Raw genomic sequence first — 17,568 nt, 5'->3', positions numbered from 1 at the left:
CAGTGCAATCAAACTAGAACTCAGGATTAAGAATCTCACTCAAAACCGCTCAACTACATGGAAACTGAACAACCTGCTCCTGAATGATTACTGGGTACATAAGGAAATGAAGGCAGAAATAAAGATGTTCTTTGAAACCAACGAGAACAAAGACACAACATACCAGAATCTCTGGGACATATTCAAAGCAGTGTGTAGAGGGAAATTTATAGCATTAAATGCCCACAAGAGAAAGCAGGAAAGATCTAAAATTGACACCCTAACATCACAATTAAAAGAACTAGAAAAGCAAGAGCAAACACATTCAAAAGCTAGCAGAAGGCAAGAAATAACTAAAATCAGAGCAGAACTGAAGGAAATAGAGACACAAAAAACCCTTCAAAAAATTAATGAATCCAGGAGCTGGTTTTTTGAAAGGATCAACAAAATTGATAGACCACTAGCAAGACTAATAAAGAAAAAAAGAGAGAAGACTCAAATAGATGCAATAAAAAATGATAAAGGGGATATCACCACCGATCCCACAGAAATACAAACTACCATCAGAGAATACTACAAACACCGCTATGCAAATAAACTAGAAAATCTAGAAGAAATGGATAAATTCCTTGACACATACACTCTCCCAAGACTAAACCAGGAAGAAGTTGAATCTCTGAATAGACCAATAACAGGATCTGAAATTGTGGCAATAATCAATAGCTTACCAACCAAAAAGAGTCCAGGACCAGATGGATTCACAGCTGAATTTTACCAGAGGTACAAGGAGGACTTGGTACCATTCCTTCTGAAACTATTCCAATCAATAGAAAAAGAGGAAATCCTCCCTAACTCATTTTATGAGGCCAGCATCATCCTGATACCAAAGCCAGGCAGAGACACAACCAAAAAAGAGAATTTTAGACCAATATCCTTGATGAACATTGATGCAAAAATCCTCAATAAAATACTGGCAAAACAAATCCAGCAGCACATCAAAAAGCTTATCCACCATGATCAAGTGGGCTTCATCCCTGGGATGCAAGGCTGGTTCAATATATGCAAATCAATAAATGTAATCCAGCATATAAACAGAACCAAAGACAAAAACCACACGATTATCTCAATAGATGCAGAAAAGGCCTTTGGCAAAATTCAACAACCCTTCATGCTAAAAACTCTCAATACATTAGGTATTGATGGGACATATTTCAAAATAATAAGAGCTATCTATCACAAACCCACAGCCAATATCATACTGAATGGGCAAAACCTGGAAGCATTCCCTGTGAAAACTGGCACAAGACAGGGATGCCCTCTCTCACCACTCCTATTCAACATAGTGTTGGAAGTTTTGGCCAGGGCAATTAGGCAGGAGAAGGAAATAAAGGGTATTCAATTAGGAAAAGAGGAAGTCAAATTGTCCCTGTTTGCAGATGACATGATTGTATATCTAGAAAACCCCATTGTCTCAGCCCAAAATCTCCTTAAGCTGATAAGCAACTTCAGTAAGGTCTCAGGATACAAAATCAATGTACAAAAATCACAAGCATTCTTATACACCAATAACAGACAAACAGACAGCCAAATCATGGGTGAACTCCCATTCACAATTGCTTCAAAGAGAATAAAATACCTAGGAATCCAACTTACAAGGGATGTGAAGGACCTCTTCAAGGAGAACTACAAACCACTGCTCAAGGAAATAAAAGAGGATACAAACAAATGGAAGAATATTCCATGCTCACGGGTAGAAAGAATCAATATCGTGAAAATAGCCATACTGCCCAAGGTAATTTACACATTCAATGCCATCCCCATCAAGCTACCAATGACTTTCTTCAAAGAATTGGAAAAAACTACTTTAAAGTTCATATGGAACCAAAAAAGAGCACGCATCGCCAAGTCAATCCTAAGCCAAAAGAACAAAGCTGGAGGCATCACACTACCTGACTTCAAACTATACTACAAGGCTACAATAACCAAAACAGCATGGTACTGGTACCAAAACAGACATATAGATCAATGGAACAGAACAGAGCCCTCAGAAATAACGACACATATCTACAACTATCTGATCTTTGACAAACCTGAGAAAAACAAGCAATGGGGAAAGGATTCCCTATTTAATAAATGGTGCTGGGAAAACTGGCTAGCCATATGTAGAAAGCTGAAACTGGATCCCTTCTTTACACCTTATACAAAAATCAATTCAAGATGGATTAAAGGCTTAAATGTTAGATCTAAAACCATAAAAACCCTAGAAGAAAACCTAGGCATTACCATTCAGGACATAGGCATGGGCAAGGCTTCATGTCTAAAACACCAAAAGCAATAGCAACAAAAGCCAAAATTGACAAATGGTATCTAATTAAACTAAAGAGCTTCTGCACAGCAAAAGAAACTACCATCAGAGTGAACAGGCAACCTATAAAATGGGAGAAAATTTTCACAACCTACTCATCTGACAAAGGGCTAATATCCAGAATCTACAATGAACTCAAACAAATTTACAAGAAAAAAAAAACAACCCCATCAAAAAGTGGGCGAAGGACATGAACAGACACTTCTCAAAAGAAGACATTTATGCAGCCAAAAAACACATGAAAAAATGCTTATCATCACTGGCCATCAGAGAAATGCAAATCAAAACCACATTGAGATACCATCTCACACCAGTTAGAATGGCAATCATTAAAAAGTCAGGAAACAACAGGTGCTGGAGAGGATGTGGAGAAATAGGAACACTTTTACACTGTTGGTGGGACTGTAAACCAGTTCAACCATTGTGGAAGTCAGTGTGGCGATTCCTCAGGGATCTAGAACTAGAAATACCATTTGACCCAGCCATCCCATTACTGGGTATATACCCAAATGACTATAAATCATGCTGCTTTAAAGACACATGCACATGTATGTTTATTGTGGCATTATTCACAATAGCAAAGACTTGGAACCAACCCAAATGTCCAACAATGATAGACTGGATTAAGAAAATGTGGCACATATACACCATGGAATACTATGCAGCCATAAAAAATGATGAGTTCATGTCCTTTGTAGGGACATGGATGAAATTGGAAACCATCATTCTCAGTAAACTATCGCAAGAACAAAAACCCAAACACTGCATATTCTCACTAATAGGTGGGAATTGAACAATGAGAACACATGGACACAGGAAGGGGAACATCACACTCTGGGGACTGTTGTGGGGTGGGGGGAGAGGGGAGGGATAGCATTGGGAGATATACCTAATGCTAGATGACGAGTTAGTGGGTGCAGCACAGCAGCATGGCACATGTATACATATGTAACTAACCTGCACATTGTACACATATACCCTAAAACTTAAAGTATAATAATAATAAAAAAAAAAGAACTTATGCATTCCCCTTGATAACAAGTAACTAGGATGTGCCTCCAAGACCCGAAAGACAGGACTAGAGTAAATCCCCATCAAGACTCAGGATATAAAACCTGGGTCTTAATGGGGTTACCTCCTCTGTCATTTTCATGAGTTTTTCTAGTTTCTGCCAAAACTTGAAATGATCATATTCCTGTGCTTTTATTCAGTGCTTTTCTTTCATGCTGGAGGGAAGGTAACCTCTGGAGTCACATAGACTAGCTCCTCTGATTACCAGCTGTGTGACCCTGGCAAGTTGCTTAACCCTTCTAGGCTTTGGTTTCCTCATCTGTAAAGTGGATATAATAATAGTAGCTACATCATAGGATTGTTGTGAAGAGTGAATAAGGAACATGTCTACAGGATGCACAATGTCTCACAGTGATAGGTCAATTATGTGAGCTCTTATTATGATTATGGCTTTATTCTCACTCGCTGGGCAAGCTCATCAAAGACTTCCCTATTTTTATGCAAACAACTCCCAGATTTACCAATATCTTCAAATTAGTCTTCCATTCTTCCACTCTAAAACTGTCCTAAGAACATGCTACTAGACTTCTAGCTTCTCAAACTCAACATTTCCAAACCGAATTTATCTTCTTTTAGTACACTCATTTTTCTCCCTATTTTTTTTTTTACTTATTTTTAGATAATTGTAGATTCATACAATTTTTGTTGTAGGAAATAATAGAGAAAAATCTTGTATACTCTTTCTCTAGTTTCCCCCAATGATGACATCTTACATAAATATAGTATAATATCACAACCAGAAAATTGATATTGATACAATCCACCAAGCTTAATCAAGTTTCACCAGTTTTACACGCACTGTATATGTGTGCGTGTGGTTTTAGTTCTATATAATTTTATCACATATATGGGTTCATGTAACGACTACCACAGTCCATATACAGAACAGTTCCATCACAAGGATCCCTCCTTTTACCCTTTTACGGCCCACCCGCCTCCTTCCCTCTTCTTTTCCCAACTTGTGGCAACAATGAATCTGTTCCCCATCTATATAATTTTGTCACTCCAAGAATGTTATATGAATGGAATCATACAATATATAATTTTTTGATACTGTTTTTCTTCACTCAGTGGAGAATACCACAGAATGATATTCCAGTTTATGACACACCACAGTTTGACTAACCAGTCACACATTAAAGTATACTGGAGTTGTTTCCAGTTTGGAGCTATTAAGACTAAAGCTGCTATGTACATTTGTGTACAGTTGTTTATGTGAATACAGTTTTCATTTTTGTGAGATAAATGTCCAACAGTGCAATTATACTGTTGCATGGTAAGCACATTTTAGTTCTGTAAGAAATTGCCATATTTTACTCTAGAGTGGTTGTACCACATTATATTCTCACCAGTGTCTGAGTGGTCCAGTTTTTCTGCATCCTCATCAGCATTTGATGTTATCACTACTTTTAATTTTAGCCATTCTGATTTGATACATAGTGATATCCCACTGTCATTTTAATTTGCACTTCACCAATGGCTAATGATGTTGGACATCCTTTCATGTGCTTATCTGCCATCTATATATCCTCTTCAAGTGAAATGTATGTATATGTATTTTGTCCAATTTCCAAAAGGATTATTTGGGTTATTTATGGTTGAAAGAGTTCATTGTATATATTCTAGATACAATTCCTTTGTTAGATATGCCATTTGCAAATATTGTCCCCCAGGCTATAGCTTGTCTTTTTCTTTCTGTTGACAAGGTCTTTCACAGAACAAAAGTTTTTAATGTTGATAATGTCCAATTTGACAGTTTTCTTCTTTTATGAATAGTGCTTTTGGTGACAAGTTTAAGAAGGCTTTACCTCATCCGAGGTTTCAAAATTTTTCTATTTTTGTCTACACTTTTTATAGTTTTCCATTTTACATTCAAGTCTGTGGTCCATTATGAGGTAATTTTTGTATAAGGCATGTGGTCGAGGTTCGTGTTCTTGCTGAAGGATATCAGATTTCTCTCACATTTTGAACAATGACATTGCTATTCACAGAGGGGTTATAGAGCCTGTGGGTCTCCCTCTTCCTTTTCATGTCCTCCCCCATCTAATCTGGTTGTCTCTATCTGTCCCAGAATCATTTTCTTAAAGCCACATCTCATCATGTCACTCTCCTGCATAAACAACTTAGATGGGTATTGACTCATGATGACAGACCTCTAGCCCTTTAGCTGGGCATACACCATTTAGACAACCCAACCACAGCTTCCCTTTCCTTAACCTCCACATATTTGCACAGTGCTTCAGCCACACAGGACACACAAAGGTCTTTCAGAGATGCTTTGCAGATGCCATTTTTCCCCACTACAAAGCCATTTTTTTTTTCCTGGGCCTCTCGCCTCAACACTAGCTGGAAGGTCACCTTTTTCACATATCTTTCCCCTAAAACACTTGCTCCCCTAACTTCCCAGGAAGAATTGCATCCTCATCCAAATTCCCATGAAACTCTCCTTATGCTTCTTTACTGCCTCTGTTTTTTCATCTGTAAAATAGGGCTAACAAAAAAAAAAAACTTATAGAGTTGTTTGGGAACTAAATGAGTTAATACCTGTAAAGCAAATAGAAGCACAATCTAGGCCATAATCAGTGCTCAATACATTTGTTATTGATGTTATAATTTTCATATATCTTTGTTGTATCTTATGTAATAGTTTATTATAGATACTTTTTCTAAGTTGGTTATTTATTCTTCTTCTCTACCAGGTTGTGTAAGATTTTCTATAGCTCCTCTTACTTTCCCACAATGTTAGTACATCATAGATTTTGATGAACATTTGAACTAAATTGGCTGTTCAAATTTAATAAGCCAATACAATGAAAAAAATAACTGACCTTTCCCCTTGAATCAACAAGTTGTTTTACTGAACTAATTATTTTGGCAGTTAATGGACATCCCTCCACTTCAATTTTTGTTTTGTTTGAATACAAGCATGAGGGTTAAATGAATTGCTGAAATACAAGATGATCAGATTATTTATTAATGACAGAAAAGTATGTTTATTCTACTTAAGTCTCTCCAATAAGACAATACTCTTTTTTGTTTAAGGGCAAAAATTACACTAACTCTAATAGACAGGGAATATTGGGTTCTTCTTCATTTTGCATTAAAATCATACTTTCCCCACATTCTTGGAAAAAGTCGTATTCGGAAGGACTGTGAAGAAGAGTTAGAATAGATGAACATTTGGGTAAAGAAGAAGAATATAAATTATATTGGAGAAGGTGATGGAAATGGGAAGGATTTGGTCAACCACACTGAAAAAATGATGTGCTCATTTGTAGTTGGTAGCTATATAAAAATAAAACCATCTAGAAAAGCAACAGTATACTTTTATACCACTGAAGAATCCCAGAATATATACACAATTAACTACAAAAAGAAATCTCAAAATCTCTCGAATGCTGTATTGGCAGTATTTTTGGTGGTTCCTCCTGCCACAAAGCCTGGCTCTGATATCAGCATTCACCCTCCCCAACCTCAGGTGAATCTTGGCCTAAGTCATTCCCAATGCCAATGTTTGGTTTAGGAAGGGGCCTATGGCACAGTCCTGGGCAATGAGGCGCCAGAGAGAGTCTACTGGGAAGTTTGTCTTGCTCTTACAAAAGAAAACGGATGTGTGAGGAGGAGCCATTTCATTTTCCTGTCTCTGTATTCATGAAGATGTTGCACTCAGAGCTTCTGAAGTCATCACACAATAAAAGACACCTACAAGACAGCACTGAGAATGGCAGAGCAGCAAGATGGGGGACTTGAGTCCATGATGAAATCACTGAGCCTCTGAAAAAAGGCAGGAGTCTCTCTGTCTCAGGATATCTTGTTACCTAAGACAATAAACTCTTTATTGTCTGGCCAGTTTAGCAGATTTTCTGTTTCTGGCCTACAAAAGTTTCTAAACAGACTCAGCATTCTGAGTGCTCTAAGTAAACCTGACATACTGATTTTAAGAGGAAACCTGCAGTTTAGTTGGCTAAATACTTACAATCACTATTCTAGAGGAGAGACAGTCAGACTTCTACAACCAGTGAGAAGGAACAGTATAAAGAACACAGACTCCCGAAGCAGGGAGCCCAGGTTCAAATCTCACCTTTGCAGCTCACTAGCTGTGTGGCCTTAGGCAAGATACTTTATTTGACTGAATTTCTGTTCTTTCACTGTAAAATGCCTACGGCAATACCTACCTCATAAGTTGGTAGGGTATATTAAATCCAATAATGTAATAATAAACGGCCTGTCAAATAGCAACCCAAATAAATGTTAGTTTCTCTTCCCCTAATTAATCCTTTGCCAAGATGAAACACTAACGCGGTTTATTAGACCAATTATTCAGATGCCTTCTTTCCAGCAGGAATTACTCTGACAGCGGGGCTGGTGTCATCAAGAGTAATTTCTGCTGAAAAGGTTCCAATCTTCATGTTTCTACTGTGAAGCCTAGTGTGGTGGAGAAGGGATCAGGCAGGGTTACTTCCAACCATAGAGAAAATTGATGTGATGATAACCACAGTGGAAGAGTTTATACGCCCCTGACTGTTTTATTCTCACACCTTAAAAAGGGTATGTGGGTGGAATTAATGGGTTCCAGGGAAGTGTGCTCATAGTAACTTTTCCTCCAAATTATTTCTACATTTTCCATTATATTCCACCAAAAGCAAAGTTTATTCTACTGATCATGATTACCAAGCTCCTAAATAGAATTAATTAACATACTGTCTTAAGATATATTGTGTTTGGATTATAAAAACAAAAGTAGGAGTTGGTGTCAGCAAGAAATCTTCTTTATTTCTGGTGCAGCAATACAGTCTATTGTAAAGGTATTCAACTTTTGCAATAAATAAATGGAAGTCATGTTTACCTAAATAGTCATTAATCATATGCTTGTACTAATAATGAGGGTAAAATTGGCAAATTTAACTGGAAGACAATTTGACATCAAAACCCTTTAAAATGCATTTACTCTTTGACCTAAAAATTCCACTTTTAGGAATTTATTTTTTATAAAAAAATAAAGATTTGTGCAATAATTTTTCAAGAATTTTTCTTGCAGGAAGAAAACAACCTAAGCATTTAAGATCCAAAGATTAAATTATGGAATGTCTACCCGATCAAATACTAAGCAACCATTGAAAATGAAATCATAGGAAAAAATGTATTGACATGGAAAGATGTACATGATATATTCCTAGATTTTGAGAGGTCATAAACTGTGCATTCAGTGCTTTAGAGTTTTCGTTAAAACATATTTATTTTTTAAAGTTTCAATGGCTATATACCAAAATGAATATGAAATGCTTCTAAGGATTTTTATTTTCTTTCATCTTGATTCTGTATATTTTTTTCAGTAAGTATAAACTGTGTAATAAAGAAAAATAATTTTTAAAAACTCAGATGAGAAATTAGTAAAATACTTTTAAGCTAAATAGCTAGCAAATAGACCTTTCATTGCTTATTATCTAGATTCTGAACTCTGGCTTCTCAGATTTCAGCCAAAATCTGATTTTTAAAGTTGAATTTTAGGAGGCTAAAGACCAACTCCCCAGAGCAAGAAGATCATCAGGTTGCCCTTTTAGGGGAGGTGACTGCTCCCTCGTCTTACTGTTGATCATAAACTGGAAAGGTGGTGAACTCTGTTTTAAACTGGGGGTATTCTCTTCAGTCAGAAATGCCCAAGCCCCCACAATGACATGCAGGGAAGTTTAAAGTAGCTTTCCTGCCCATGCTTAGTTGGTTCTTTGTGTTTCCAGGGAAGAATCCTTCAAAACAGAAGAAGCTGATTGGCACCCACTCTGGAATGCAGCTCCTGGCTGTCACCTCCAAGTAGACAAAAGTTCTGGCCTCTATCAGAACCCTGCCTGCCACAATGACCTGGACCCTGATTTAGTTATCATATTATTAATAATTATTATTGCCATGGGTGTTTATTGACCCTCTGCTATCTACCATGCACTTTGCCAAGCACTTTTCACACATTATTTCATTTAAAATCTTAACAGCAGCCATGGAAGGTTAAAGCTATCATTATCCTCATTTTATAGATGAGGAAACAGTTTGCCCAAGATTATATGGCTAGTAAGGACTAGAGGCAAAATGAGAAACTAGATCTACCTGGATTTTATTAGAGGTTCCTTAACCAATTAAATTAGGATGTTTATAATTCACTTTGGGGAGAAAGTTCAATTTGCCATTCCTGGGTCTTTCTAGACCAGAGTTAAAAGTAATTCCAAGAAAATACTAAACCACTTCACATTTCACAACCATAGGAGTGATTCTTCTGTATAGCCATGCCCTTGACTGCTGGTGGCAAAAAAAAAAAGGCGGGGGGCGGGTGGGCCAAGACACAGCCAAGAGTCCTTCTGTGTTCAGCTCCATGCTGACTTGCTTGTCACTTAACTTTTCCAAACCTCAGATCCCTATGTAGAAAATGAACTTTATTCTTGTCCTAAATACCTTGTTTGTGAGTATCAAATAAGACAATGTGTGTATAGGTACTTTTGAAAGTACAAAGGGCAAGGAACCTTGATTACTCCTCATGCAAATTACTTCCACCCTCAAAACCCAAAAGCAATGTAACTTTTATATAGCATTTTGCAAAAGACCGAGTGAGGGGTTTTAGAAATACAGACAAACCTTAATGTAAAAAAGTCCCCTGTGTAATATTTCCCCATGTTTAGCATTAATAAGTCCTGAGGAAAAGTCATTGACTCAATGCTCCTTGCCCCCATCTAATGCTTTTGATTTAATGTTTCCTCTCTAAGTGCATGAATTTTTGAAATGCAGGAAATTTTGCCACAGGACTTAAGAGTCTCCTGTGACTTGATGTTAAGGTATTTCCTTAGTCATTTTGGTCTGTGCTCCCTGGGAGCAAATTAGAGCTTTGGCCGTGAGTTGATACACGTCCTGTTTTAACTAAAGATGATAGTTGGCTCAATTACTCAAAAATATTACATCAAGGCTTAGGATTACATTTGCAAGAAGGACTAATTTTTTAAAAAAACTAATATATGGCAGTAAAGGGAACAAAGGAATTTTTTATTGACTATTTTTAAAAATAACTTTTTTTAAGTTGTAAAAGCAATATATGCCCATGTTTTAAAATTCAAAGAGGGTACATAAAGTGAAATGGAAAAGTACTCACTCCACATACATTCTACTTTCAATGGTAAACACCAGTTTCTCATACATGCTTTGAGAATTTTACTATGACTATACAAGCAAATGGATGTAAATATATAACTATTTTTAACACAGTATCATTCATGCTATAGACTGCCCCCAAAATGCTTTTTTCCTAAAAGTATGTTTGTATACTTTTTAATATTCTCATGTATTGCTCAGTTTTAAGCTCTCTCCTCTGCAGTATTCCATTGCATGGATATAACATAAATTATTTCAATATTTTTCTCTGGCTGAATACTTAGTTGTTTATGGATTTTTAATAACACAAACAATGCTGCAACCAAAACTTCACCACATGTCTTTGCTCAGTTATGTGAGCTCACCTGTAGAAAAATTCTTATAAGTAAAATTGATAGGTCAAAAGGGAGGTGCTAATCAAGTGTTGATAGATTTTTTAAATGCAAATTACCATCTAAAGCTGGTTGTACTAATTTGCTTTTCCCCCACACTTACTATTGAGAGCCCCGCCTTTGCCAACAATGGGTATAGATGATATGAGAACCTATTAAACTAAGATGGATACTATCAATTTTCAGCAGACACTGGATTAAAACAAGTATTGTTTTAGGTCTTAGATAACAAGAAACTGGAAATGCCTGCCCCTAAATGTACTGTGAATCTCCAGGCCTTGAGCTCTGAGAAGAAATCACGTTGAAGTGAAATAAATCTCAAAAGAGGGGCTTAACACTCATGGAGTGTCTATTGCATGCCAGGCACTGTTCTAAGTACTTTATATACCTTAAGTCTCCTATAATTCCCAACCACCCTATTAAAAAGGTGCTTTAGTCATTTCCATTTTATAGACAAAAAAACTAAGGCACAGAGAAGTTAATTCCCCAAGGTCACTCGGCTGATAAATGATAATGCTCAGATTTGAGCCTAGGAAGTTTGGGTCCAGGGTCAGGTGCTTTTATCCACTTATGCATTCTGTCTCTGTGCTCCTAATGATATGCTAAACACATTTATTGAATACCTACCCTATGCCAGGACTGACACATGCACCATCTTATCCTCACAGCAATACTAAGAAGTATTATTCCTGTTCCAGAGATATTAAAGTGGCTTTCCAAAGTGACAGCAAGGGGATGTGCACTGGGGCATGTCTGATTCCAAAGCCTGTATTTATTCCACTACACCATGCTTCTTTTTAGGAACTAGTTGTCATAATATTCATTTTACAGATAAGAAAATCAAGACTTCAGAATGAGACATATAAGGGGTTTTAAATGGGGTCATCCTTGCTAACAAACAGAACCTACCAGGGAGCTCCATCACATCTAGTTCTTCCTTCATCAGACTGCTATATAGTTGGAATATTCATGTATATTTAATTACATATACATGGTCATAGAGTAGCATATAGTGGCAATTTGCTATTTCCCATAAAGTATGAGCTCAAATTGTCCAGTGTGGACTAAAATTGAAGGCAGAATTAAAGTCTCCCAATTCAAGTATCAACAAAGCCCATTTTAAAAGAGTGATATAGTTAGGTGAGGATGAGCAGATGGACTCCCACACTGCAGAGACATACATCACTAGAATATGGTAGCAACATATTTTTAAGCTCAGTGAGAAATTCATTATCAGTCCATCAAAAAAATAGGTTTGGTGCTGGTTCCTGAATTTACAACTGTATTTCCTTACAGTATACAGGAAAGTTTGAGAGCCCAGGAAAGGTAAGAAGAGCGGCCCAAGGATGGAGAGCTTCAGAGAAGAGCCTTCTGGGTGGGCAAACCCTACCAGCCAATCACTGCTTCTGCTCACACCCTCCATGCCCAGCTCAATGTCTAAGAGCTCAGGCCCTGGGTCCAAATCCACTCTGCTACTTGACCACTGTGTTACCTTCAACAGGTTATCAAGCCTCTCTAGCAGTTTTCCTCATCTGTAAGATAGGCAGTAACCAACAGTGCCTGCCTCATTCATCTGCCATGAAGATTAAACATCGTCCATACAGATCGCTTCCCTAAAGTTTTGAGTTAGAGCACAGAATTACAAATGTCTACATACACAGACCCCTCCCTTTTATGTTTCAGTATCTTATTCATTTTTTTTAATGAAATCAGGAAAACACATTGTCCTATGTCTAAGTCTGAGACAAAAAAGGGAATTTATACTCATTGGCTTACGATAGCTCTATGCTCTGGAGGTCAGAGTGTGCAAATCCTGTATTTCTATGTCTGGCAGCCCTAGTGAGGAATGAGGCATTAGATCTCTGTTATCACTGTCACAAAACAAACAATATGTTACCAGCTTATCTTTTGATTGTCACAGCTTGTTAGGCACAAGTCAATGTAGGCAGTTATTCAGTCAGATTTGGAGGTTAATTTGATTATCTCTTAAAAAAATTTTTTTTGTACACCATGGATACTAATGTAATATTCCTACAAGGGTTTTCCTGCACTCTACAGTAAAACAAGTCAGCCTGGAAGAATATGCAAATGTGACTGTTATGTTGTTCAGTTTTCAGGGCAATTAAATACTTGCTTTGAGCTTCTCATATTGCATTGCAAATTCCTATAAAACTTACTATTCATTTCTGTACCTAAAGCTTATTTAGCGTCAAGTCTTTGCCATTATTTCCATTTTATTGAAAATTGAGTTTTTAATTATGTGTCACAATCATGTATAATGTGAATCTTTATTTGCAAAGTCTTTTTTGGTTCATGTTAAATCAATTACCTTTGTCCCTTTGTTAGTTGGGCAGTGGGAGGCAGCAGTTTCAGATTTCCTCTATGAGAAGATGTCTGCAACTCATGATAACAGTGTTGGCTCCTCTATCTACCCCAGGAACAAAGAACTTTAATTAGATAGGCCAGTCTTGTCAGCCTCTGCTGGGCAGGATCAGGTCTGTATGAAGCCAAACAACTTCTTAAAAAATAAAATATAATAATAATTCGTTACTCAAACTGGCTGTAAGAAATTGTGTGGATCCCAAAAAGGTGTTTCTACAGTTGAAATTTAGAAAAAAGAACCTAAATTTTGTTAGAATTGTTGGTGTCTGTAAACATAACTTTTGTCTTTGATGCCTTAATCTTTTGTTTAAAGGATTATCGTGAAAATCTCTAAATGACAGTAAATTGAAAATCAGGCAAAATTTGAGGAGTTGAACGAGCAGTGCCTGAGATGAAAGAAAAATGAAAGATTTGTGTAATATTCATTTGGGGAAATAAATGAGATGGTTCATCTGCAGACACCTGTTAGACCCTTGTCATCTTTCCTCAACAAGATCTTCCTCCTGTCCATTTCTGGTTCTTATACATAAGTCTCCCATCACTCAATTCAAATGTTTAAGTCCCTTTTGAGTACTATCTTCCCCTCACGTCTTCTTTTAATAAGACTTAAAATCCTATTTATCCTTACTTCATATTTTTCATGTCTTTTTTATTTTTTACATTCCTAACTCAAGACCTCATTTCTTCTCACCTGGAATAGCAACACAGCCTTCTTACTGGTCTCCCTGACTCCTGATTGCTCTCCATTCAGTGGAGCCTCCACATCACAGCCTCATTCACCTTCACGCAAGCCTATTTTGATCATGTTACTTCTCTGATCAGATCCCTTCAAAAGAAAAGTTAAACTCCATGACCGCAGTTCTTCGGCCAGCTCCAATTTACTTTTGCAGGTATATCTTCCATTAATTTCCATATATTCTCCAAATTTCAGTGAAACTACCCCCATTCCTTCTAATCACCTCCAAATCATCTGATTCTGCTTCCTCCATATGGGAAATCTTAACTCTACAAATTCCGACACAACCTTCAACCCCAGAATTAAATATGACCTATTCTATATTTAAAAATAAACAATTCTAATGTTCCTTACATATAAGCATTGAAATTGCTTCAGCCCTCAGTCGAGATTGTCCATGCAGTCAGATCACACAGGGTCTTTACATGCCACAGAAAGAACCTTGGAATTCATTCTTTAGGCTACAGGGAACCAATGAAGAGTATTATGCATTGGAATTATAAATCAGAGTGGTATTTAACATAGATGATGCTGTGGCAGTGGAGAGACTGAATTGGATGGGAGCAAAGAGACTAGTGGGAGGATGCACTGAGCAGTTCTTGGATTTTCCTGAGAGATAAGACTGAAAGAGTACATTTGGAGGGACTATGATGAGATCAATTCTAAGTGTGTTGAATGGGAGGTTCTGGGGACTGGGTGAGACAGGCAAAATGCCTGAGAGTGCAAAACTTAAGGAGACACTTACTCTGAGGTGCCCACTCAGCACTTGAATGACCCAAAGCATAGGTACTTCCTTAAATTCTTCACCCTAGGCACCTAGCTCACCTTACCGCTAAGTTCCTATGATACATTTTGTAGAGATATCACCTTGGCAGCCAGGGAGGTACACTGCTCAGATCTTCCTTCAAGAAAGAACTTGCTATTCAGCTGCAAGAAGTGCAGTTAGCTGACAACATCCAGCTACAGGACTTTCAGGATCTTCCTCAACTTTTAAGCCACAGCCATGCTCTTTCGGGGAGCCCCCAGCCAGTGATTGAGCATAGCAGGGGTACTAGGCCTGGTCATTTCTGCCCACTGTGAGACTCCTTTAATGGGCAATCTTCCCTCCAGAGGTTGCCATTGGGTTGGGTGAGATTTTGTCATATCTGCATTGTGTGGTCAGAAGGCTCTCCCTGCCCAATTTTGCTTCCTTCCCCATTTGTCTTTACTCTCAAATAAACCACTTGCACTACTAATTCTGTCTCAGAATCTCTTCCCAGAGAACCTAAATGACACACCCAGTGAACAACTAGCCATACCAGTCTGGACCTGGAACTAGAGATGAAATAAGCTAACTGTGATTTTTTTGTATAGTGGCTAGAAGGCTGGGCTCTAGAATCTGGGTTCAAATCCCACTCCTCCATTTCTGACCTTATACAAACTCAGACAAGTTAATTAAACTTCTCGGTACCTCAGTTTCTTCACCAGTAGAATGTGGATATTAATAGTCAATGAGGACTATATAAGATAGTGCATTTAAAGTATTTAGTGCAGTGCCTGGCCCATAGCTGGCCCATAGTAAATACTCAATAAATATGAATTAAAATTATTATGTAGATTTTAAAATGCATTTACAGAGGTTGTTTGGCATAACAAAATAGGAGAAATGTTTACTTAATCAAATAATTTTCCACAGACTCTAATAAGGTTAGTGAATATTAATTTTGAAAAATTTAAAGCCCAACTCTGTAATTTTTTTTAAATTTGATTTCCTCTTACTTCCAATACGGCTCCTCTCTCCATACAATGCCATCACCTTCTTGTCTCCTCCCGTGATTTACTTCTCCTTTCTTTTCCATCCACTCCAAATTCTCCTATTACTCTCCTTTTTATCAATTTTTGCTAATAACCTCCTCCCCCGCTTGGTTGAGAACTCATCTTCTCCAGAGAGTCTTTCTTGACCAGCATGCCCTCCCCACCCTAACTGTGATTGTTCTTCTCTATTGGAAAATGCTCCCAAGGATTTTGTCCTTTTGAAACTAAGTAGTACAAAAAACAAAAAATCCAATGCAATTCTCAAACCATATTGAAGGTGTCTTGCCTCCATAAATAATGGTTAATAATGAAATAGCAGGAATGGTATCTTTAAACAGGAGCTTCCCTCCTTGACACCTCCTTTTGTCCCAAAGCTAGAAGCCAGCTTGGCAATGTGATGCTTAATAAATGCTTACTTAAAGGATGAATATTTTCAGCTATGGATGCATGGTCAGCCTACAAATTATATTTTTTATGTCTTCATTCTATATGTGAGCCTTAAAAATAAAATGTTTGTTAAGACAGTCCTGGTCACATAATAGGGAAACTATTGTATGAGGGGAAGTAAGTGTTTTACAATCATTTTAGGTATTTTGGGGTAATATAAATTTGTTTCATAAAATAAAGGCCTGGTCTACAATATGTCTAAAGCCAGTAGGAGGTCATACTTAGAGACAGATGGCAAATGCAGCATTCTTTCCTCTCACTTTTTAGTACATATGATATTCACTACAAAATGGCACTGAATGTTTTTCTTTTACCACACAGTACTACATAAGCTCTGAAAAACAAAACCTCTTTTTACACCTATGAAACCTCAAACAAAATAATTGACTTCAAAAGTAAAGTGAGGGTATTTTGTAATGTGATTGAAGGCAAGGAATATTTTTACATAGATTAATATTTCTATATATGTATTTATGCATATATAGCACGTGAAAAAAGGTGCTAGTAAATCTTTAGCCATCCTATTCATTCAATTTAAAACCTTCATTAAGATATTTACATTCAAGGCAAGATTCCTACATTGAATAAGACACAATCTTAGGTTCATTTACAACATTGGAAATGAATAGGACCTAAAATAGAAATCAGTTACACACAGAACAATATATGAGTATAACATTAATAGCCTACACAGATTTTTAATGGCTCCTAATATAATATGCTGTTTTAAGGGGCCATTTCTACATACTGAAATGCATTTTTACTGTACTATTATACTTTAATTATAAATTGAACATGGTTGATAAAATCAGCATTTAGAGTTATGTAAATTTTTAAAAATATACATAATCCTCTATAAGTACACAGCTCTATATGTGATAAAATATTAGATCTTGGATGCTAAAAAGTAAGAGTAGCTTTCACACTGACCTTAATAATATTCATTTTTATTGTTACAACTCAGTCAACTATTTTACTGAAGTTTACAATTGTCCACAATGCGAAGTAAATCCAATGCAATTGTTGCTTTTATAATCATTATCATGAAGCAAAAATAATAGCCAATATAAAATAATTAACCTATTTACTACATCATCTTAAATATATTAAGAAACTACAAGATGGCATTAATACTATCCTAATCTGCTCCACTTAACAAGCTAATATTTAAGATGCTTCCATTTTCAAGTATCACTACCCAACGTACATTTAAAAAACCTACTTGTGAAAAACTATTTTAATTTCTTAGAAAACTACTAGTTCAAAGAAAACCTACT

The 17,568-nt window shown here is 36.8% G+C and overlaps 2 protein-coding genes across 7 annotated transcripts in view; both read right to left on the bottom strand.

Annotated features, from left to right (window-relative positions):
- IQCJ-SCHIP1 (IQCJ-SCHIP1 readthrough) overlaps positions 1–17,568 on the bottom strand; it is an 828,041-nt gene that overhangs the window by 809,088 nt on the left and 1,385 nt on the right. The window lies entirely within an intron of this gene.
- IQCJ (IQ motif containing J) overlaps positions 1–17,568 on the bottom strand; it is a 196,989-nt gene that overhangs the window by 178,036 nt on the left and 1,385 nt on the right. The window lies entirely within an intron of this gene.

Source organism: Homo sapiens, chromosome 3 (genome assembly GCF_000001405.40).
Source record: "Homo sapiens chromosome 3, GRCh38.p14 Primary Assembly".
NCBI classification, from domain to species: domain Eukaryota; kingdom Metazoa; phylum Chordata; class Mammalia; order Primates; family Hominidae; genus Homo; species Homo sapiens.
The sequence above is the reverse complement of the archived record's forward strand: the minus strand, read 5'-3'. Positions and strand labels throughout refer to the sequence as shown.